This window comes from Homo sapiens, chromosome 5 (assembly GCF_000001405.40).
Source record: "Homo sapiens chromosome 5, GRCh38.p14 Primary Assembly".
In the NCBI taxonomy this organism is placed as follows: Eukaryota; Metazoa; Chordata; class Mammalia; order Primates; family Hominidae; genus Homo; species Homo sapiens.
The window spans coordinates 81,064,534-81,088,546 of record NC_000005.10 but is presented as its reverse complement, the minus strand read 5'-3'; the positions used below and the strand labels follow the sequence as shown (position 1 = coordinate 81,088,546).

The window sequence follows — 24,013 nt, the reverse complement described above, 5'->3', positions numbered from 1 at the left end:
TAATTCAACGCCCATTTTCCAGGTATCTGTAACAAAAAGCATCATACTAGACAAGGTAAGGCAGAGAGAATTCCTTAAGTGCTGCCCTTCAGAGTTTACAGTAACCAGGAGAGAGAGGTATACAAGCAAGAGGATGAAATACACGCACCAGGAGTAAAGTGCCTTGGAAACAAGTGGAAGGTAAATCCATTCTAACTGGAGGAGAGGGGAGGAGGAAGAAGAGGAAATTATAAAAGGCTCCTTCGAGGTATCTGATCTGAGCCTGGTGGGACAAGCAGAACTTCAACAGGCACAAAAGAAATGGATAAGGACATTCCCAGCCCCCAGGCTGGGGACAGCACAAGGAAAGGCACAGAGGCTGGCAGGCAGGAAGCCAATGTGGGGACACAGTCTGTGCAGAGGAATAGAGGAGGCATTACAAGGGCCTGATGTTGTCAGCATTATATTCCACCCTTATTTAAAGAAAAAAGAATATCTAAAGCCAAAAATGAGAAAAGGAATCATTTCCTAAAATACACTCCCAAACTTTAACATATGTGTGGTTTCTCCTTGTAAATAAATAATGGAAAATAGAATGGCATGCATTAAACTTTTAAAGTAGTCTGTGCAAAAATTAATGTGCACAAAACATTGTCTTGTTCTTGATGAGGTAAAAAGAGATTTTAAGCAGTACATTATGGTAGGCAATGGCAACACAAATATCTTCAAATGTATTGGCACATTATAAACAGAAACTACATTAACGATTAATTTGAGTTCCAAATTTATATTCCACTCCTCACCAAATTCAAAATTATAAATGTGTGCAATATATTGTCTCAAATCAATTGCCTGGGGCATTCTCCCCTCCCCCAGAGGACCTAAGCACTAAAAAAATAACTTGGGATGTGGTTTACGTCTTGCATTTTGAAATAACAGCCGAGGAGAAATAGGCACTGTCAGGCTGTTGCTTCTCCACAGTTTCCGGCACAAATATCTTCAACTCTTCAAAAGCTTAATTTATCGAGTGATGCCCCCAAAGCACACTTCGCAAACACGACAGCTTCTGCATTACCAAAGCGTGGCAAGTGTCCATCAGAGACATTTCATCTGGCAACGGGAGTTACCAGTTGAATCAAATTATATCGTGTGGGGCGGATCCGGAAGTGCTGATGAAAAATGGGAACAACAGACAGCTGTTTTCACTTCGGACATGGTCCCCAGTCTTATGTGAAAGGGCTTTGAGCAACGCAAGTTTCTCCTGGGCCTTGGCCTGGGTATCGTCAGCACTTGGCACTGCCACGGCCGTGGGCCAGGCCGACCGGTCCTCCTTGGAGCTGCAGAGAATGTCCGGGCCGCTGAGGAGGAGCGTCCAGTCAGAATGTAACTGCCTGCCCCACTCGTGCTTTACTATGATTGTGTTGCTGTTTTTCATGGTCCCTGAAAAGAAACAGCACAAAGGTGGGCCTCAACCACCGCCTCGGCGAAGGCCGTGGGGGGGTCCTTCGGGCACCGCACCCGTCACGCCTGTTCAGAACGCCTTCCGGGGTGTGCCGAGATCATGTGACAGCCGCACAGCGCATCAGGTCGCGGGTCCATTTCACAGGGACTTACCTTGGCGGATGAACGTTTGGCTGGTGTCCAGCAAGATGTCACAGCCCTCCACGATCATTCTTTCGATGGCAAGGTTTTTCCTTATGTTTTCAGTGTCGCTGACTTCATCGTGCATTACTCTGTGACACAACACAGACAGGATCACAGTAAGAGAGATTTTCTCTTGCCCTAGCATGTAGGCAAAGAAGAGCTCCATCTGAGAAGCTCGGTTGCAAGCTTGTATCGATTGAACCGGGGGTTTGGGGGAAATAGGCTGGATCTTTCCAGGCTTCAACAGGTCATGACCAAAAACAAAGCCAATGTGCCTCATAATTCTAAACAGTAAATGGGTCAGCAATTACGAGCATCCTGGGCATGTCTGCTTCTAAGTGCAACAGGAAAGCAACATGTCATTTTGTGGCCAGTTCCCGTCATTGAGATTAGGGGGCCATTTCTTGGAGGCAGACTAAATAAGAGACCTTTAGACCATTTATCCCATATAAGCTAAAGTAACACAGACATAAATAAGTGCTTGTAACAATGAAAAGTCACTGAGAAATGCAAACTGTACATTCTCTAGCTTCTTACCAAATATGAATACAAAATGCAACTGAGAGTCTTTTTTGTTGAGATGGGGTCTCGCTATGTTGCCCAGGCTGGTCTCAAATTCCTGGGGTCAAATAATCATCACCCCTTGCACCCTCGTCTCAGCTTCCCAAGTAGCTGGGACTACAGGTGCACACCACCACACCTGGCTATCATTTTTTTTTTAATGCTGAAAGAAACATGAACATTTCCAAACTTAAACCAAAATACACCTAATCTGAATTACATAAATTCACATGCTATAAGAACATTTTCCAAGATACGTATTTTTCTTGGTTCAAATGAATGTGAATGATGATTCAATATCACCTCACAAGCTACTATTTAACTTTCAGGTGAATCTGAGAAGCTGGATTTGTTTTGCTTCTTGTTCCTTAGAACATATACAGGAGGTTTCCACAAGAGACTAACTTGCTGCTTTCCTCTCCCAAGCCTTTGTTATAAGTTCTTGGCATACCTGGATAGTTCCTCTAGCTTTGATTTGGCAAACTCCAGGCTTTTCCTTTCCACATGCTCATGGGGTGTGTGAGCAAGGAGCTCATGGAGTGTGATGATATATCTGGGGATCTAGATGCAAACAGAGGCCAGTATGAGCAAGACATCAGGATGGGTGACAGGGCACATGCTCCGCAGGGCCATCATTGCTTCGAGAAGCTTGTCTCTACTCTCCCACTTTTTACTGTTTTACACATTTTTTAAAAAAGAAATACAAATAAAATGAACTACACTTCACACTTCATGCACACCAAAAAAAAGACTTCACCAAGAACACATGAAAAGGTGGAAATTATTGAAGTGTTATGGTACAAAGAGATGGTTGTTTCTTTAATTTTTTTTTACATAATCATACACTTTTGAATCATAATTTTTGAAAACTGGTTCAGAGGGAAACAGATACAGCTATCATCAAGTCACTTGAGTCTGTATTTTAGATATATTAGTCCATTTGCAATGTTTTTAAATCAACAATCCCACTGCACTATTCTCCCTAAGAATTAAAACTTGGGAGAAGACATGTTCACCTTTATTACTTTCTGTTTCTACTTTATCTCAATTCACCTCCTTGCAGTAAAAAGTATTGTTTAGGTTATTTATTTGTACTTTTGTTTATTAACAGACTATCTGAATTCTGTCAAAGACAGAAACTCCACCAACCAGAGGAAGATCTTAATAAACCATGATAGAGATTCAACCTAATTTCTAGTGACACAACTTATTTATTGTGGGCTTAATTTTAACAATAACATGCATGAACATCTACCACAACATTACCCACTCGGGGGTTAGACTGGGTGCTCCAGGCTTTGCCAATGTGTCCAGTCCTCTAACATCATAAGGATTATGTCTCCATTTTATAGATAGAGAACTAAAATGGGAAGAAGTTTTAGGCTTTTACAGATAGAGAACTAAAGTGGGAAGAAGTTTGGTAACTTGCCCAAACTTGCCCCATTGGTGGCCTCACAGTAAATGGGAGCGTCAACTATAATCCCAGCTCTGACCAGTGCACTAACTGTCTTTTCTCAGAACTCACCCTGGGAGCTCTCGTCTGCGGGGACTGAGGTCTCACTCAGCACTTGAAAGTACCTTTGAGAATGAAGAAACTACAACAGCTTTCCAGGACCCTGTGTGCAGTTTCTTCCATTCTGTCCTGAAGGGTCAGTGGCCCTACCTAGGGATCTGCATTGGCTCTTGTGCAAGTGGTGGCCTTCATTGGGCTGCTTACCAATGTTTATTGAGTGTGTCCATTTACACACTATGCATAGACACAGCCACCATTAGCACAGACATTGAACTTCAGCTCTGGGATCACACCCTAAGGAATGTCATCAAATCAAGGCTTCAGGAAGCACAAATAGGCCCCCTTCATCGTGGAAGGGTGGGAAACAGGAGAATCCTCCCTTTTTAGGATATATGGAGGAGATTTTCTGCTCCTTCTCCCATGAACTTCTCACTAATACAGCCCTTAGGGTTGTCCCACTTGATGAAGTCTCCTGGGATAAGTGTGCTTTCAAATATCTTTTTCGCTGGCATAATTGCATGACTGATAAAAGTTTGCCTCTAATTAGTAATTCCACAAGAAAATCAAGGCAATCAATAGCTAATGTACAAAATTTTTCATAGCAAACAGGACAGGTGTAGGAAAGCTTGAGTACTTATAATGCACTGAAAATCCACAAAACTGAGTTTGGTCAATACTCTCATGATCCTTCCTCATTACTTAAATTTCTTTTAAAGTGCTCGCTGGCTAAGATTCAGGTAGATGGATTTGAATTCAGTCTCTGGCCCTTTCTGCCTTATGGTGAAGGAACAAACAGGCACTGAAACTGCCAAAAAGCAGGCAAACGAAGTTCTGCAGAGAAGTGGTCAGCTCTCCAAAGGGCTCATCTGTATCTTCAAGAGCTGATTATAAATCTCTTCCCCCAAAACCAAGAATCATAGGAACTGTCTAAATGAATCATAATTCTGCTTTCAATTATGGAGCAAATACTTGTCACTTTATAGACATTAATTAGCTTGCTCTCCAATTACAGTAAATAAGTGGATAGAATAGCAAGTAGCTACTTTCTGGAGAACATCTAACACTGCTGTTCTTGTCAGGAGCAGATTTCACGATTGGCTTACCAATGGACTTTCGACACATACATATCCAAATAAATACATGAGCAGCTGAAGCCAATTTAAACAGTACCAGCCAAGCCACTGTCTTTAATAAATAAAAATTATGTTAATGACAACATTATTTTCCATAACAAATTTCTTGGCAATACTTGGACTTACTGTTCTGATAGTTCAACTGGGGATAATTTTACTGCATCATCCAAATTCTACAATTTCTCCATGTTTCCATAGTTCAACATAGCTTGATAACAGCAGCAACTGACTAACTCAAAAAAGGGCCGAGAAGGAGGAAGACAATCACCTTCTCTCTTCTACACATACAAGCTAAAGGCTTCCAATTGCCTCTCCTCCTCTCTCTTCCCCTACACTAACTTCTGCCTCCATATCTGGGCTCAAGAAAGTCTGGACAGAGGTCTCTTGGCAGTATAAACTAGGGTCACCTCTTCCACTGTTGGCCTCCAGCAAAAAAAAAAAAAAAAAGTGAGAACCCTAGCCTCATCCTGAGGCGTCCACCCTTACAAGGGAGCAAGGCAAACATGCAGAAGTACCACTGCTAATACAGAGAGAAGCAGATACAACCGGACCCTCCAAGGGATTCAAATACCTCCATGACTATTTCACTTCATTAGTGAAAGAACTGCAAGGGAACAAGAAGGAGAGAGTGAGCTTAGTAAGGAAAAACCTCTCAGCTTCAGCTTCTAGAAAAGGCAATTTCCCCCAAGTGTTTTCTAGGGTTATTTCTAGAGAGAAGGATGAAGAGTGAGGCATCAAGTGAAGAAGACAGAAGGGAGACACCAACGAGCATAAGGCCCTTGGGCACAGAACTCCAATGACTTCTCCTGGTCTATTCAAAATAGTTATGGGGAAGCAAGCAAAGACAATTCTGTGCTCTTTCAGTTTGCTCATTTCTTGCAGTTGGACAATTCTGGCTCAACTCTTTGAGGCTTCTTCCAGATCAAAGCCTCCCACAAGCTGAAGCCTCTGGTTAGACTTGTCTGGCAAAAGCCAGAAAGCCTCAATATCTGACCCAACATTCTAAGGTTTGAGGTCACCACATCCTTGGGGAGGGGGCTCCTAGACTAACACCAAGCTCCTTGAAACACCACATAGTTACCCAATCCAAAACATCAGAACTAGTGTAGTCACTCTAGGATCACCACATCAGAGAGCTAGAGAGTCTGGAGATAACTAGAGCTCAGCTCAGCTGCCTCAATTTACAAATTATGAAATAGCTATTTAGTTTGGTTCAATTATTTTCCCCGATGCTATGAGTGAGACATCAGGTCTCCTAAAGATTCCCAGTCCAATGTTCTTTTCAAGACATTATAAAAATTCCCGGGGGTCAATCAAAATGCTCAGTCATTGCTATCAGGCATAGTCTTCGGGAGAGGAAGGGCAGGGTGGTGGGAGAGTATCCCAGCATTTTAAAGAAATCCAAAGACCTTTCCAAGGACCTACATTCGCTGTATTTGGACACCTCATCTACAGCGAAAGTACAGCTCTGCCATTTCAAAATACTGAAAAAATCACACCAAGAGGGAATTAAATAGCACGAAGAAAGACATCAGGGGGCTGTCAGGTAGGAAGCTGGTTCCTCTCTGAATGCCCCATGTGTCTTTCACGACTCTACCTTTGTATATTCAACTGACTTGGGGTTACGGAACAGATACAACTTGGGGTACTGAATCATAACCTAAAGATAATTGTCAAAAATTCACATAGAATCTCAGAAGAATGCTATACTATATATTTCATTATAAATAAAATCTTAAATTCCAATTATGTAGATAGTTGTTTTAAAAGTCTGAAATCTTTCTTGTGAAATATTTCCTAAGAGAGGCAAAGAGTTCAAACAATTCAGTTCCAAAGGAAAACAAAAACAAAAACACTATAAAGTTTCACTATACTTAAGTGGTTTTAAATGCATCCTTTCGGTTAAAAATCTGACTAAACTTCTACGGCAACTTCCAGGATTTCGAGCAGGACTGACAAACTTCAAGGCAAACAATTGTGCACCACAGCCACATTTCTTTCTGAGGCTGCAAAATGATTAGCCAGGGTCAGAGATGCCTGCGCAGGAGGACAAAGCGCTCCACAGTAACCATAACACACATGATTAGTAGAATCGGTTTACCACATGACAATTTGGAGGCCTGGCCAGAAGCCACCTAAATTCCACAATGGGAACACTCAATGCTCTTCCAAAAGAACAGAATCGACACTTTTCAAAACAACAGGAGATTCAATGCACATTTTGGCCTCCCTGGTTCTCACTTCTGGGCGCTTAACGGTAAAGTCCTAGATCCAGGAAAGAATGCAAGTGTTCTTGACCCCTTGGGTTGCTCTAGTCCCAGAAAGGGAGCCCCTGCGGCCACCTGACTAGTTGCCAAGAGTCCTCAGGTCCCACCCGTGCCTTCTGTTTCCTAGTCTCCACAGCCTCTGTGACCAGGGAGGTCCTCCTTTTGTTCTCCAGGGCTCCAGCCGAGGGGAGACTCAACAGCAACCGCGACAGGAAGGGAGGATGGGCTGGAAAACAGAAACCTTCCCAGCAGTCACTCCGTCCCCAAGAATCTTTTATGCAACTAGCATAAACTGGAACATTTGCACAGAATCCTATTTCTGTAAACCAAATAATATTTTTAAACATGCTGGAGGAGGAGACTCCATGAAAGAGGTCTGTGTGGAATCTTTCTGTAAAGAGAAAATTGTGCAGCGTTTCAAAAAATCATTCTTGAATTCTTTGCTTCAAAAATGCCTGGTTTTCTTATATCCATGAGACACAGAGAATGTGTGGCACAATATTTGTTTATCTCAGGGTCAAGCTCAAGACAGCAACAGATGGTACATCTGTGCCATAATTCCTCCCAGGGCACACTTAAGCATCTCACGCTGGTCACGCTAGGTATCAGTGACATTGAGCTGGAAACTCTGACTTACAAAATGCATCCCAAGTGACTTACCTGAAACATGGGATAGGTCAAGAATGTCTCCAGCATCCTCCCCTCACAGGCTGGATTGGCTTCATACTGTTTTAAGAGTTTGTCAAAATCTCTGTTTTGCTTACAATTGGCGAGAACTTGCAGGCTGTACTGGTGATTACGCACAAATTCTTGATAAATGTTCAGCATGGGGAGCAAAATATCAAACAGATCAGCTGCAAAGAAACAGTAAACACGGCTGTTTCCCTTGTTGCTTGGTAAATTACCTACACTGGGCAGGAATGGCAAAGAGTGGGTCCCAGCACCAGGTGTCACACATGCATGGAGCCGCAACCCTGATGCCTGAATGATGATCTGGTAGAATGCACTCATGGGCAGCACTTGACTCCAGCCCCAAATTAACTATGACAGGCCAGGGGAAAGAATCAAAAGGTAACACTGAGGCAGGGCCCAAAGTACCCAAAAGGCAAGGAGACAGGGTCCCGGGATACAGAAGCTCACAGGTCAACAGGGTGATGCAAACAGTTTAGGCTGAATAATGTTGGAGCTATTTTACTCTAATTGCAGCCACTCTAAAAGAAAATCTTACACCTTTAAAGAATGCACTTACCTAAAATTAAAGTGGGCCAGTTTGCTATCCTTGCCTTTAGTCCTTGATGAAATATTTCATGAAGAAACATGATTGTTTCACTATAAAAAAAGGAAAAATAATATAATTTAGTTGCTATAATGTGTTTATTTTGTTTAAAATCCAGAGTCCTTAAAGCCTTAATATATACATAATATATATGTCCCATAGGGCCTCCAAACTATACCCAATAATAACATGGATTATATTATCCTCAATCAAGCAATTATGACAGCCTCAGCAAACCCTGATATAACATTCAAATATTAGAGGACAGAAAGCACCAAATCATTGTCACATAACCTTCTTCATCAATTTTTAAGTGAGCTTTCTGCTATTAGAATGCAGTATTTCAATCAATAATCAGAAAATTAAAGTTATGATCCTTTTTTCTCTTCATATGTGATTCTAGATAACTCAGGAGAAAGTTTCTCTGTCAGTAAAATGAGTTTTGACAGAAGGAGAGAGGTTGAAAAAAATCTAGAGCAAAAATTTTGAGAGAACTCCACTATAACCACTCCCAAGATACCCAAGACAGAAATGCAAAAGAATCTTCTGAAAAGAGTGAAGCCTACACAGAGATACTAAAATAAGGATGATGCATAACTTAGGGATCTAAATTCCTAAAAGGGCCAGGAAGGGTAATTACCAAAGTCAAAACATCATTGCTTTCTCCTCATTGGAATTAACCTACTGCAATGAGCCTTTGAAGCCTTTTCTGAACTAACACAGTGACACAATCAAATACAGAACCGTTCATCTCAGTGAGATCCCTTGGCTTGTTATTAGTCAAGTTCCATTACAACAGACATCAAGAAATCCTTACTATTTCAAATGGTCCACGAAATAAAACAGAAATGGCTCCATGAGATTCTAATTTATTTTTCTTTTATAACAATTTAACTAAGTAGTGTTTGTTGTTCAAGGATTTCAACCAAATCTACTTTGGCAGGTATTATAGGTTAGTCATTCAATCTGTATTCCATCCTCCTTCTAGGTGGAGAGGGGTAAAACTAAAACTACATTTCCCAGACTCCCTTGCAGCTATGGTTCTGGATGTAAATTCAGTTCCACTAATAGATGCACTTGGAAAGACACAGAAGGCGGAAGTAGGGGCCATCTTCCTATGGCTGAAAGTCAGTCATGGCGATGTGAGTGCTTTGGGGCAATGTCAGCACCCAGCTTTAGGATTCTAGTTTCTGGGAACCAGCTTCCAGAGTCTGAGAGGCATCTGTGGCAGCAGCAGTGGTGGCAGTGGTTTCCTAACCTCTGGATCTAGTCTATGTTCTCTGAAAGTCAACAGTTTAAGGGCTGCTCCCTGACTTTACTCCCCCAGCCTTTCCAACAGATTCTGTAAGCAGTGAATTCCCTCCACTCAGCGAGGGATTTCTCTGTCCTATGTTGAACACAAACTAATGGATACATCTACCTTCATATTTTGATACCTGGATGGTTAGAAAACAGATGAAACAATTCTGTATATAAATAGGAAGATTGCATTTTCTTAACTATAAACCTGTGTTAAAATTCAAAATTATTGAGCTGCCTAGGGCTTAATTTCAAAGGCATGTAAAGGGAATCTAGTTAAACAACAGTAATGATATAAAACTTCTTTAAGCCTCACCTTTAAAAACACACCTCTTCACATTATGTTAAGTGAAATAAGCCAGGTACAGAAAGACAAGTATCACATGTTCTCACTCATATTTGAAAGCTAAAAAAGTTAATCTCATGGAGGTAGTGAATAGAATGGTGGTTACCAGAGGCTAGGAAGGGTAGTGGGGAAGGAAAGGATGAAGAGAGGGTTTGGTGAATGGGTACAACAGTACAGTTAGATAGAAGGAATAACTTCTATTATTTGATAGCACAATAGGGCAGCTATAGTTAACAATAACTTATTTCAAAATATCTAGAAGATTTAGACTGTTCCCAACACAAAAGAAATGATAAATGTTTGAGGTGACGGATATCTCAATTACCCACATTTGATCATTTTACATCATATGCTTATATCAAACTATAACATATACCTCATAAATATGTACAGCTATTATATATCCATTCCATATTATGTATATGTATTATGTAACCATAAAATGTATCCATAAAAATTAAAAATAAAAAAGTTTTAAAAATTTCTTTTCAAATCTCCATCTAAGTCTAGATGTGGTAAATAATTGCTAGTCTATATGAAGAGCTTATAGCTTTACCTTCCAAAGAGAGGCATATCTTGACTCTGAATTTAAACAATATGATAAACCTGGCCTTTCCTGATTCAGATCAAGCAATCCAGTGGAAACAAAGAGCCAGAGGCAACCTAAAAGAATGTGGCACAGCCTCTTTATTTACCTCTAGGTACCACCCTGTTTCTCTGTTCCTCTTTATAGCAGCTCTCCTCAAAAGAGTTTTCAATACCCACCCTCTCCAGTTCCTCTCATTATCAGAGTTCAGTACACAATCCCATCCACTGCCATCAGACCTGTTGAAACTGCACACTTGGTGACTGAAGTATCACCAGAATGCTGTACTGCCTGAGGATCAAGGGCTACCCCCAGGCTCCTTTGGATGTCCCACACACTTGAGAGGAGCCATTGCCAGCAAGGTGGGGAAATCTCCCTCCTTCCTTTTAACAAAAGAAAGCCTAGCTTTTAATCTCGTATTATCAGACTACCACTCATCACCCTTCCTTTCTGCACTCATCTACAGACACGCCAGTGGCTCTTCCTGATGCCTTGAGATCTGAGCTCTCAGCTCACAGTTGCTCTTTTCTCCAACACTACTCTTGTCATAATTCTTGGGGATTCCAATATGCACACAAACAACATTTCAATATCCTGGCCTCACAGGACCTTGAACTCTTCCTCCAAAGATCTTGTCCTCCATTGACCTCGGTCAACACCCCTTTGATTGTACTCTAGACCTTGTCATTGTCAATAGCTGCATCCCTTCCCTGTCTCAATTTCAAGCACAACATTCTCTGACTACTCCTAATCTTTCAGTTCACTGCCTTTAGAACCCTGACTCCAAAATTCTTTCACACTAGCATGACCTAAATCCCCAGATCCCACCACCTTTTTATTGGCAAAAACCTCTCATACCAGCACTACTTTCTTTCCTCAGTTTAGATTCCATGGCTCATTATTATAATCTCTTCCTTGTATACAGCTTCAACTTCCTTATTCTTTTCTCACTTCACCACAGCAGCCACAACACCAATCCTAATTAATCCCAATCCTCCACCCACTCTGCACCTGCATCCATGCAGCTGAAAGTGGCTAAAGAAAAACATGCAACCATCCTGACTGATCTCACTGGAAAGTCACAACCACTAGCCTAATAAGCTAACACAAGCTCTCAGTGCTTCCCAGCATTAATACAACATTCCTGAATCCATTTACTCCCCTGCCCTAGTTATCACTATTCCACACCTCTTTCTCTCTTCTCCAGCTCCGACACTTCCCTCCCATCTGCCCCATCAGTGGATGTCCTTGCCTCCTAACTACTGAAGTGTCCATGTACTAATCCTTCCCTGCCCTAGTTATCACTATTCCACACCTCTTTCTCTCTTCTCCAACTCCGACACTTCCCTCCCATCTGCCCCATCAGCGGATGTCCTTGCCTCCTAACTACGGAAGTGTCCATGTACTAATCCTTCCCTGCCCTAGTTATCACTATTCCACACCTCTTTCTCTCTTCTCCAACTCCGACACTTCCCTCCCATCTGCCCCATCAGCGGATGTCCTTGCCTCCTAACTACAGAAGTGTCCATGTACTATTCCTTCCCTGCCATGCTCCCAGCTAATGACAATCTCTTGACCTGAGCAGTACATTCTGTCCACTTTCGCCTTTGCAAGTTTACTGCTCAGCAATTCCCTCTCTCCTCCATCCTTCTTTTACCCTCTTCATTTGCCTCTAGGTACCACCCTGTTTCTCTTCTCCTCTTTACAGCAGCCCTTCTCAAAAGAATTTTCTATACCCACCCTTTTGAAATCCTCTTCCCTCCGCCCCACCACCTGTTCTCTCCTAAGCCTCCAATCAGGCTTTGGTCTCTAATCAGAGTTACCATTAAACTCCGAGTTGTTAAACCCATGGTCAATTCTAAGTTATTGCTCATTTGACTTTTTTGGCATCGTTGTTGGTTCCCTCTTGCTTTCGTTTCCAGGACAACTCACTCTTCTGGTTTTCATTGACAACTCAAAGGATCCTCTTCACTCTTCTTTGCTGGCTCCTGTTTATCTTCCTGACCTCTAGATGTTGGAATATCCATGCTCCTCTTTTCTTATCCATCTGTACTCACTTGCTTGGTAATACCATTCAGACTAGCAGCTTTAAATACTATCTGTATGCTAGAGGACTCCCAAATTTCTATCTTCGGCCCAGAATCTTCCTCTGAACTCCAAACAAATATCTGATCCCTAGTCACTTGACATCTCCACTTAGATGGCTAATAGCATCTCACGCTCAACAGATCCAAGAGAAAAGTCATCTTTTCCCCTCAGCCTGTTCTTCACTCAATCTTTACCATTTAGTAAACAGTAATTCCATCCTTCTAGTTGTCCAGACCAAAAAACGTTGCAATCTTACCTTTTTGCTTTCTCTTAAAACCCACATCAAACCCATCAACAAATCCCAACTGTTGAGTCCTGATGGATAAGTAAGCAACAAGGAAGGGGCCTCCGATGGGGGAAGGCTCCAGGTAGGGGAGAAGAATGAACAATTGTTCTGAGAAACACAACCCGCTGGCACAAGGAATGACCTTTCCACACCTAGCCCGCTCTTGCACGACCGTATAAAACTTCCCTCCAGCCCCTGCCTCTCTGCAGACAGCCCCTTCTCTGCTGTGCTGCCCATTGCACCCTTGCAACATGTTTTCACACATTCTCTAACAAATCTGCCTTGCTTTATCCACAACTGTTTTGGTAAATTCCGTGACACTGGCCCCAGCTAGTTGCATCCGTGACACCTACTGGCTCTGACTTAAAAATACACCCAGAATCCAACTACTTATACTGCCTCCATTATAATCATCTCTTACTTGGATTACTGAAATAGCTACCTAACAGGTGTCTCATCTCTCACTCTGTTTATTGAATAGCCACCTAATTGATCTCCCTACAGACTATTCTCAGCAGAGAAGCCAGAGAGAGCATTTCAAAACAGAAGTCACATCACACCCCTTCTCTGCTCAAAACCTGACCAATGTCTCCCCATCTCATTTAGAGCAAAAGTTAATGGCTGTACCATGTCCCACCTTGATAACTCCCTGACTCTTCCCTTCACTGACACTGAGCAGGGCAGGTCCTCAAGCTGGACTGCCGGGCACGTGAAAGCCCCATGTCCCCTGCACGCACAGCTCCCTCTGCTTGCCTCACTCTTCCTCCAGGAACTTCAAGCCTTTGCTCGAATGTCACCGTATCCTTGAAACTTTTCTGAAAACCTGCTATAAAAAAACTATGGTACATTCACAGATTGTAATACCATGTCGTGATTTTTTTTAATAGAATGCTCTTTAGGTATCAATATGGAAAGATCTTCAGAAAATAATGTTAAGTGAAACAATGAAGTACATGTTAAAGTACATTGCCTTTGTGTAAGAAGAGGGAAAATAAGACTCTATATTCATAGTTTCTTAGATCAAAATTGAGAAACACTGAAAGGATAGATAAGAAACTAGTACAGATATTACGTATAGAAAGTGGGGGGAATCGGGTGGACAGAGACAGGGTGACAGTGCAACTGCTAACTGCTGTTTTCATGTTATTTTGACTTTTGAACCATGTGAGTGTACTATCTACTCAAAAACAAATAGCTAAAATTCTAAGTAAAACACTAAACCCTCCCTTGACCCCCTTCTCCCATTCCCTTCTTTATTTTTCTCCACAGCTCTGATGGCCATATAATATACTATCTATTTCACTAATGCTGTTCATTGTCTATCTTCCTGCATCAAAATTTAAGTTCCATAAAGGCAGGCATTTTCTGATTTTTCACTGATGAATCCTCAGCAGTAAGGAAACTAATGATTTATTGAGCAAATAAATTCACCAGAGCTTCTCAGGTCCTGTCTTAGCTTTTGCTCTTCCTAAAATACTTGTGTATAATTAACATGTAAAAACCCATAATCACTCCATTTTCTTCAGTTTATGAGTGATTATATTCCCCAACACACATCTCCATGCGATAAGACAATGTAGGTCAAATAGAGAAGAAAAAATTAAGAACATTAGATGCCAAGATTCAAGTAAAGATGTAAAAATAACAATGCAGGCTGGGTGTGGTGGCTCACGCCTGTAATCTCAGCACTTTGGGAGGCCAAGGCAGGCAGATCACGAGGTCAGGAGATCGAGACCATCCTGTCTAACACGGTGAAACCCCGTCTCTACTAAAAATACAAAAATTAGCCAGGTGTGGTGGTGGGCGCCTGTAGTCCCAGCTACTTGGGAGGCTGAGGCAGGAGGATGGCGTGAACCCGGGAGGCGGAGCTGGCAGTGAGCCGAGATTGTGCCACTGCACTCCAGCCTGGGCGACAGAGCAAGACTCCATCTCAAAAAAAATAAATAAATAAAATAAAATAAAATAACAATGGAACACAAGTAATAGCTTTCTTATTTTTACTATCATAAACTAATAGAGATGAATTTATGAGACCCTTTTAAAGATTAAGTAAAAATTCTTGTTGGAAATACAAAGGGGTTTTTCTCATAACTCTTTGATTTATGCAATGTCAAACCTGTTAAGAAAAATACTGCTGACGTCGTCGTGGCTGATGGGGGGCTTCTTGGAGCTGGCGGCCATACGCAGGGGCCGGAGAAAGCCATTGACCAGGATGTAGAGCTGGTGAACGTACTCTGACTCTGCCTCCACCATGGTGAACACAATCTGGTTTCTCTTCCTCATACTTTCAGCATGAGGAGAACAAATGTAATCCTGCACGATGGTCTTCCATTTCCTTCTGCACAACCATCCTCGCATGAAGCTCTGAACCTACAGAACAAAAAATCAGAAAGGAATCTGACTAGTTACAATGGTGATTTATTTATGGAAAAGAACATGAAATATAATTAAAAATCAATTTTGCAGAAAACATGATAACCTCTAAAATTGATAAGGATTCCCTAGGGATGATGTGAAAAATAACAGGCAAGCCTGAGAAAGTGCACTGGCCTGTGTGTTTCAGCCAATCAACAAACATTTACTGATCATCTTTAAAATGCCCAGGTAAATGCTGGGTACTGAGCAGTCAAGTATATATTAAAACCTTTAACTCAGAGGCTCTGCCATTACTTGCAACCACCTTGACCTCTGATTCTCTGTTTCTTCATCTATAAAATAACCGACAGAGCTGGACATGCACAGGCCTGTAGTCCCAGTTATTTGGGAGGCTAAGGTGAGAGGATCACTTGAGCCCAAGAGTTCCAGTCTATCCTGGGCAACGCAGCAAGACCCCATCTCGTGTTTCTCTGTTTTTTTTGTTTGTTTTGTTTTTTTCTCTGTTTTTAATCTCGTGTTACCAGACTGCTTTCATTTTTCATGAAATTAAAATAAAATGATTAACAAAAAAATCTAAAGTCCTTTCTAAATATAAAAAATTATAACATAATTAACTAGGATTTGTTTTATGATAACTAGGGTTTCTCACTTTAGATGTGGCAGATTCAGCAACAAAGTAGGTTGTAAATTCACATATAATTGAAAGTATTAAATCACTACCAAAGTATCATTATTATCTATTTAACACATCCTTACACTTTTTATTTTTTCCACACTATGTTCTAAATGATCACGTATTAAACAACGACCCTTCTTTTGCAATGTCTAAAATTCTCTTGCCTGCCTACCAGTGTCGTCACCATGTTATCAGTTTTTATACAGGCATTAAACTCACTCTACCTCAATAAAAATTAACCACATTTTAACACAATCATGTGGGGAAATTATATTCAGATTATTTGAAGAAATCTAACAAAAATTTCCATGAATTATAACCAATTTTAAGTTTTAGTCTATCAAGGTAAACAAAAATTAGGTTGATATTTGCCAAGACCAAAATAGAGAAACGATTCATTCATTGTTAACACTTTTTTCCATGCAGACATTATTTTGAAATGGGACATAAAGAACAAAAAATTAATCTCAAAACCTATTTAACAAGTACAAAAATTGGTTTAAAAAATTATTAAGAAACAAGAAGGTAGAAAAATATTTTTAAAATTTTATCAGTATTCTTTCATTTAACAGAAATATTTTTAAAAATCAACTTAATTGGATTTTGTGTTAAGTAAAACCTTTCTATTTACTTGGGCAGGGGGTGCTTGCCGACCAATAGATGCTTCACTTATTTAGTAATAGACTAGTTTCTACCACACATCTGAAAATTGAATTTTATTAATTTTTTCTTTACATGCAACTACATACTATTAAAGGAAAGGCAATAGAATTAATCTTGTCTCCAGACTGACTAGATGGGATTTTTTTTAAAAAAACTAATTAATCTTATAACACAATAGCATAAGCTTGATTCAAAAAAAAATTAATTTCTAAGAAATGAATAGTGTTATTTTACTTTTTTATTTCTGGAAAACTGAAAACATTTGACTAGTCCTAAGAATCATTTCTATTTCAAATTCTGAGCAATATTTAAAGTTGTAAAAAAGAATATAAAATATAATTTAAAATCAATTTTGTAGAAAACATGATAGTCTCTAAAATTGATCTGAATTCCATAGGGATGATGTGAAAAATAATAGGCAAGCCTGAGAAAGTGCACTGGCCTGTGTGTTTTAGCCAATCAACAAACATTTGCTGATCATCTTTAAAGTGTCCAGGTAAATGCTGAGCACATTAAAGTTTTGTTACAGTGAAAGGGGAAAGATTATTAGCATAAAATAAGAGGAATAATAACAAATTAAAAAGAAATAAGATTTGAAGATGTATATCCAGGGAAATTTCCTCAAATATGATGCTTTCCACTTATTATTAACAAAGCTGAGTAGTGCTTTATATAAGACAATCAAGATCATAGGATCAAAACCTAAATGACAAATCAAAACACAGTGGACTAGAGTGAGAGCGAGAGCCAGCATTTGGTTCATTGCAAAAGTTGTGCAATTATAAATGGCAGTAAGAGGGAAAAATCTGCTGATTGTGTGGATGTTAAACAAGAAGCAATAATAAAACAGAAATATAAGCGGATGTGCTGATTTACTCAATCTTCACACATGCCCCCCAAAAAATCTTTCTTAAATAACACTAAAGATTAAAGCTAAAAGAAATATTTTTGAAATGTAATTTAAAAAATATTCCCCCAAAATATGAAAGCCGCACAAAATCAAGAGGTTGAACAGCACTTAATTAACCCCACTGGAGAACACTATTGTCTTAATGCCTGGTTTTGGCATCCTTCCTAGACAGTGTAAAGAAATCTCAAGCAGAAATTCTCTAGAGTAGCCATGTCTGGATCACTCTGCAGGGCAAGTCTGGGAGCCATAGCCCAGAAACACCAAGGCTGCTCCCGGCTCACGCACAGGGTGGCAAAGACACCACCATAGAACAGACGACTGGTCACCATGCTCCTACAAAGCTGGAAACCTCCAGGCCCTACCTTTTTAATCTTCTTGATGTCTGGATCTTCGTCTTCTTGGTTGCTTTGGTAAGGTCGCATTCGTTCTTTGGTTTTATTAAGAGCAATAATCTGGAACACAAAGTTGGTCCATTTCATGATTTGGGAAATGCTGGATTATAGCCATACACACAGGAAGCTCTGCCTACAAAGGTGGTCCAATGAGATCCTCAGGAAACACCCACTTTTTATGCACACTCTCTTCCTTTGGTGCTGAGATGGGGGAAACATGAACTTTACCCCAAGCATGGTATCACCAATGAAAGTGTTTATAAGAAGTGACTGTGTAAAGTGTGACCGGGGATCTGGGCTAGCAGAAATGTTGGCCCAAAACTCAGCCCCAGCTGCCAGTGGTGAGCCCGCCAAGACCTTGTCAGGAGTCCAGTGATATGTCCATCCCCTCGCCTGAAGGTGGCTGCCTGCAATGTCCTGTGGTCCCCACATGCAGTGACACTCAGCTCAGAGCCCCTGGTTCTGGCCATTGGCCTGTAGTCTTCCAAACCACATGGCACCCCAGACTCACAGACATCCTTAGGAAAATGGCAACTGTAACGGGAACTTCAGAGCCTTGGGGCTGGTCCAAGCCAACCAAGAGAATTCCTCAGAAAAGGTAAAAAGGATCAAACTAACCTGGGATCTCTTTATATCTCCAGCTCAGTTCTGTGACCTGTGAGGGGCATTTCAAGACTGGGTGGCCTCTCAACTACACATAGCAGTAAAATTCTCTAGACCGGCACTCAACAGCAGGCTCTTACAAGCTTAAGAACCTATACAGACCTACTAGCCAGCAATACCTTAAAAGTTAAGGGATCATAATTGCCCCTCTCTAGCCTGTCTTTCTATTTTGTCCCCAGTACCAAATACACCCCTCTGCCATTTTCTGGCAAGGAGGTGGGAAAAGAAAGGGAGTAGGAAATAAATTATGGCTCCTGTCAAGAGACCAGAGAAGACATACCTGCAACTGACAGTTTTTTGCTGCAATCTACATTCAGACTAAAATAGAACATAGTGAAGGCAGATAAACACACACAAATATTGAGGAACATCGCCTGGTGTTGAGCTTCTCTCGTGGAGTAAATACCAACCTCTTTCACTGAGCAGACAAGCATCTGCTCCAGCTTACAGTGGCTAAGAAAGAACACAATAATTTTGTTTTAAATAACAGTGCCTGATATAGTCTTTTAAAATGCAGGTTTGTTAAGTTTTCTGTTGCTGTTTTCACTATATCACATATCAGGGTCGAATTGGGAAGTTAACAACTGTAATAATATGGTGAACACCATCTGCAAGTTGTCATCATCAGAGAAGCTGCCACATCTCTGTTGGAGGACGCTTGTACCCATACTCTCAACACCGGAGGTGATGTGTGTAGGGAGCAGAAGGCGAAAACCCCACCTAGGATTCACAGGGTATGTCTCAGAGGAAGGTGCAAGACACAAAAAGGAAAATGTTGTCTGATGACAATAAAAATGACAAGAACATTGCCAAAACTGACAAGCCTAAACTGTTTCTGTCAATGAGGATACAATTACTAGTAGGTTTCATTGTGTCCTATTCCCTTCTTTGAATCTCAGAAGATACTAATGCATCCCTGGGCAGAAAGAGGGAGGAAATTTCATTCTCTGCATTCCTCTCCCATTCTTCAGTGATTGCTTACTGCCCATGAGGAAGGATAGGACAGCGGGAAAGGTACATTCAGGATTCTCTATCTAGACTGAGGCCTGGGAGGGAGGGAGGACTCAGGCACACACCATGGCTGTGGACTCTAAAACCGCCTTCTGCTCACACTGGGCATCAGCCTCACTATCTGGGGATGCAAGGCCTGAGAAGTTCACACTCTGAGGGAGGGAGGGGGAGGCAGGAATTCCAACTCCAGGGAAAAATGCACCCTAGCAAATGTCTTATAGTTTAATCCAAATGTTCTTTTCAAAACTGTGGAGGGGAGAAGGTTGGACTCCTTCAAATCTAAAAGAGTAAAGTATTTCTGAATTCATTGCTGGTTCTCCCTTAGTTGTCATTTTAGACTTTAATTGAATCTATGGCAGACTCATAATTATCATTACTGTAGGGTATCTGAAAACAGTTAAATGCTATAATCAATTCTTGAATTTCTGAGCTAATGAAGGGTATCAGGAGAACAAATAACCACCCCCCACCAAAAAAAAAAAAAAAAGCACATTATCCTGATATGTTCCTGTAGCACATTTACTTAATCCTAATATAGACATTAGATTCATGTCTAGGTCAGGCCCAGCCACGTATGTGTTGATGTCAGAGGAAGTCAGCCTGGGATTAAAATGTTGCCCTGAATAGGCCTTAAGTAATCATGAGGAAATGACGGTAAACGTGAAACAATGAGAAGGAATCTATTGACTGGGAAATACCTCTGATTTAAGCCTTTCGATTTCTGTGTCTTGATCTTCAAGTTGATGTCGGAGTTGGTTAGCTGCAATTTTTTCTGTCTCTACGATCTGAACTAGATGAATGTACTTCTGCATTAATACTTCCCTCTCAATCAAAATGTCTGCATAACTTGAGAGAAAATTACACAGTTAGTCATTGAGATATTGTTCTACTATATAGAGTTCCATATAGAATATAATATGCTACATTTGAAAAAGAAGTTATGAGCATTGTTTGTTCAGCTATCTCTACTTGACATAAATGTTAACTTTCAGCTTACATTTGGTATCCTTCGACGATGAAGAATTTAAATAATCATTTTACATATCCTTTACTAAGAATTCACTTAATGATACTTGCTACCCAAAAAATCTTACCATAGAAGTGGGAAAAGTACAAAAGAAATTGTAATAGTTTTAAAAAGAAAGTAGTGTGTCTTCTTTAACAAAAAAACTGAGGTCTTTTGAATTCTGGCACATGGTTTCCAGGGATGCTATTCAAAATATTTCACCGAGTAAGATATTAGCCAATCAAAATAAACCTGCTCCCAAACAGAATGAATGCAGAGACCATTACAACAGGCACTAACTGGAAAAAATCTATTATGTCTGTATTAGTGACTACCAACTCTGTTGGGCTCTCTTTAAGACTGCAAAATCATTGACTACTCTATTTCTAAAGCCAACAGAAATAGAAATTATATTCTAGAATTAAGTTTAGATTATTTGGGCTCTAACTCCTGCAGCCTAGCCTGTATCTATGTCTTTGGTCAAGTATGGTAAAACAAAACTTACTCTCAGATTTTTACTGATGATATAATTCTGTGGTATCTAAAATTTTGCCTCCAGATCTTCTTGCATCATTCAGGATGATGAAATGGATATTCTTCCATGCATATCATCTTTCCCCAATGGTATGACAGTAATAATTCATGATAGTTACTATTTATTGAGTGCATAGGATATAGTATACATTATTTCATCTCATAATCCCAGCAACCCCAGGAGATATGTGATCCCAATTGCCCAGAGAAGGAATTTGATCTTCACAGAGGCGAAGTACTGACCTCAGATCGCACAGCTAGTAGGTAGCAGGGCTGGGATTCAAATTAAGGTATGTCTGACCCGAAGTCCATGTTCTTAAACACCAGCTAAACTGCCTCTCTCATGAGAAAGTGCACGCTGGACATAAACAAGAATGTTGCAGCGGAAGTGTTTTGAGATACCTGCCCAATCTTCCACACACTTACCTCCTCTTTGGGAACTTGGGCCATGGCAAGCCATGTTTATACCACAAAAGCTGCCCTCATGACCACATTAAACCAGCCTAAAAAGAGATAACTGGTGCAAGCTAAACCAAATGGATTCTTTCCCCTTGGAATCTGGGATTCTACCTCGCTTTATTTGCTTGAACTGCAATAATATTAACTTGGAAATTCTAGTTGCCATTTTTGGGCAGCCATATTTGGCCACATCCGAGCCAAAACAGTCAAAGTGAGTCCGACGGGAGAGAAAAGAATAAGCGGATGTTCAGAAAAGCAAAGACAGGAGAGACAGAAAGTCTGAGACAGAAAGTTAATGGCTACCTGGGCTCCTGTAGCTTTCTAGTTCCTGGTGCCAGGCCCTCATGACGCTGGAACACAATTTTAGGCTGGGGTTCAGGGAGATACTGCAGTGTCCTGCTAATAAATTCTTTCTTTTAACCTAAACTGGTTTGAGGTTTAGCTTACTTGGTTTGTGTTGCTTGGAACTAAAAGTCTTAAGACACTTCTAAAATCACAATTTTAGATCAATTATCTCAACATCCTCAGCACCTGTATCGTGCGTGTTGTTAGGGTTAGAAAAGAACCGTGTCAGCAACATTTTTAAGTCACTCGTTCTGAGAAATTACCCAAAGAGAATAGAAAGGGAGGCTATGAAATTACAAGTGACAGGAAGGGAAAAGAAGAAGAAAAGATAGAAGAGTCTTGATAGGAATATGCTGTGGGAGAACTTAAGGGAGAAAAATAATAATAGAGCATAAAAAAAGCAATTGTTATAAAAATTCTGCCTTTCTCATCAGTTTTATTAGAAATATGCCAAATTGGTTACAAATATATTACATCAGTGTTAGGTAGCAAAGCAGTATTTTCTTTTCTCTTAAAAAAGAAAAAGAAAAAGAGAAAGGCAGGTCCAGTTTGGAATGCAAGGCTGACTTCACACAGACTCATCACCAACGTCCCCCTCCCTGCGCTTCCAAGGTCTTTGCTAGGAAAATTGTTTTCTGTTTAAAGAATGAAACCATAAGAGCATGATAAAAACAGGAAAATATGCCATCAATAGACCAGACATCCTCAGCACCTATATAATGGAATTTGTAAAATTCCATGAAGAGAAAAACTAAGCAAGCAGAATTAGCTTGGTGGGGAAATGAGAGTAGAGGAAACCACAGATACAGATACCTTGCATAAGCACACTTCTCACCAAGAGTGGCCCGGAGAGTCTCCAAGCTCGGAAGCAGCAAATGTAAACAACAGAGCGTAGGCAAGGGCAATTGTTATGATCTTCCATTAAACAAGTACCTTTAGAATATGTGAAGTTAGGCTCCTCCTCTTCACACCCCTCAAAAATAAGAAATAAAAGGCACAGCTGGCAGCAATGACATGTCCCCAGCTGACAGTGCAAGGTCTGCTTTCTCTAGAAAAGGGTGGCACCTTCCTAAAGAAGAACTCTAATGAAGGAGCTGGACTCTGAGAACAGAGCTTGGGTTTACTCCAGACATTCACCGTGGACACAAGGGAGAACCAAGAAGGGAAAGGCTTTAAGAGAGCCTGGAAATAAAATACACTGTATTCATTTTCTATTCTGTAAAAACAGAACTTAAGCCACTAAATTTGGTGATAATTTGTTACAGAATAGAAAATGAATACAGTGTATTTTACTTCCAGGCTCTTAAATCAACATATATTTATTATCTCATAGTTTCTGTGGATTAGGAGTCTAGGCTCAGTTTAGCTAGACCTTTAGGTCAGGATGTCACGAGGCTACGATCACGGTGTCAATCAAGATGCATTATCATCTTGAGGCTTGACTGGGCAAGAATCCTATTCCAAGTTCATTCAGGCTGTTAGAAAAGTTCATTTCCTTGCTGCTGTAGAACTCGTAGCAGCTTCCTTCTTCAAAGCCAGTGGGAGAACATTTCTCACCTGCTCTGTAAGGTCTTTCATCTGATTAAATCAGGTCCACTAACGACCCTTTTTATTAACTCAATATTAACTGATTTAAGACTGTAATGATATCTTCAGTAACTCTTTTCCTTTGCCATATAACATAACCTAATCAAGGACGTCACTATCCCATCATGTTTCCATATTTTAGTGGGTAGTAGCCAGTAACAGTTTCCAGCTGTGTGGGCTAAAGGGTATAGAATTATACAAGGAAGAATTTCCAAATCACCTTCCTACTGTCTGCCCACATATCTGAAAAGGAAGCTGACACATGTTACACGATGCAGCATTCACAGTCACAGAGTAAGCCCAGACCAACTACCCATAATGTCCCACAAGATCCTTCATTTAGAAACAAGGAATAGCAGACACTCATGAAAACCAGACTCCCCTCTCACCACAAAAGGCCCCTATAGTAGGCA

General features: G+C 40.6%; 1 protein-coding gene across 7 annotated transcripts in view; it reads right to left on the bottom strand.

Annotated features, from left to right (window-relative positions):
• Positions 1–24,013, bottom strand: part of RASGRF2 (Ras protein specific guanine nucleotide releasing factor 2) — a 269,800-nt gene that overhangs the window by 141,616 nt on the left and 104,171 nt on the right. For 5 of the 7 annotated variants that reach the window (NM_006909.3, XM_005248565.2, XM_017009683.2 and 2 more), the window contains exons 3-9: positions 20,368–20,515; positions 17,966–18,055; positions 15,095–15,348; positions 8,347–8,426; positions 7,758–7,951; positions 2,636–2,745; positions 1,594–1,712 (exon numbers count right to left, since the gene is read on the bottom strand). In NM_006909.3, coding sequence (NP_008840.1) covers positions 1,594–1,712; positions 2,636–2,745; positions 7,758–7,951; positions 8,347–8,426; positions 15,095–15,348; positions 17,966–18,055; positions 20,368–20,515 — 995 coding nt within the window. Of the gene's footprint in view, positions 1–1,593; positions 1,713–2,635; positions 2,746–7,757; positions 7,952–8,346; positions 8,427–15,094; positions 15,349–17,965; positions 18,056–20,367; positions 20,516–21,180; positions 22,926–22,946; positions 23,197–24,013 lie in introns of those variants that run through there. The other 2 variants (XM_047417466.1, XM_047417465.1) reach the window with 2 other exon arrangements.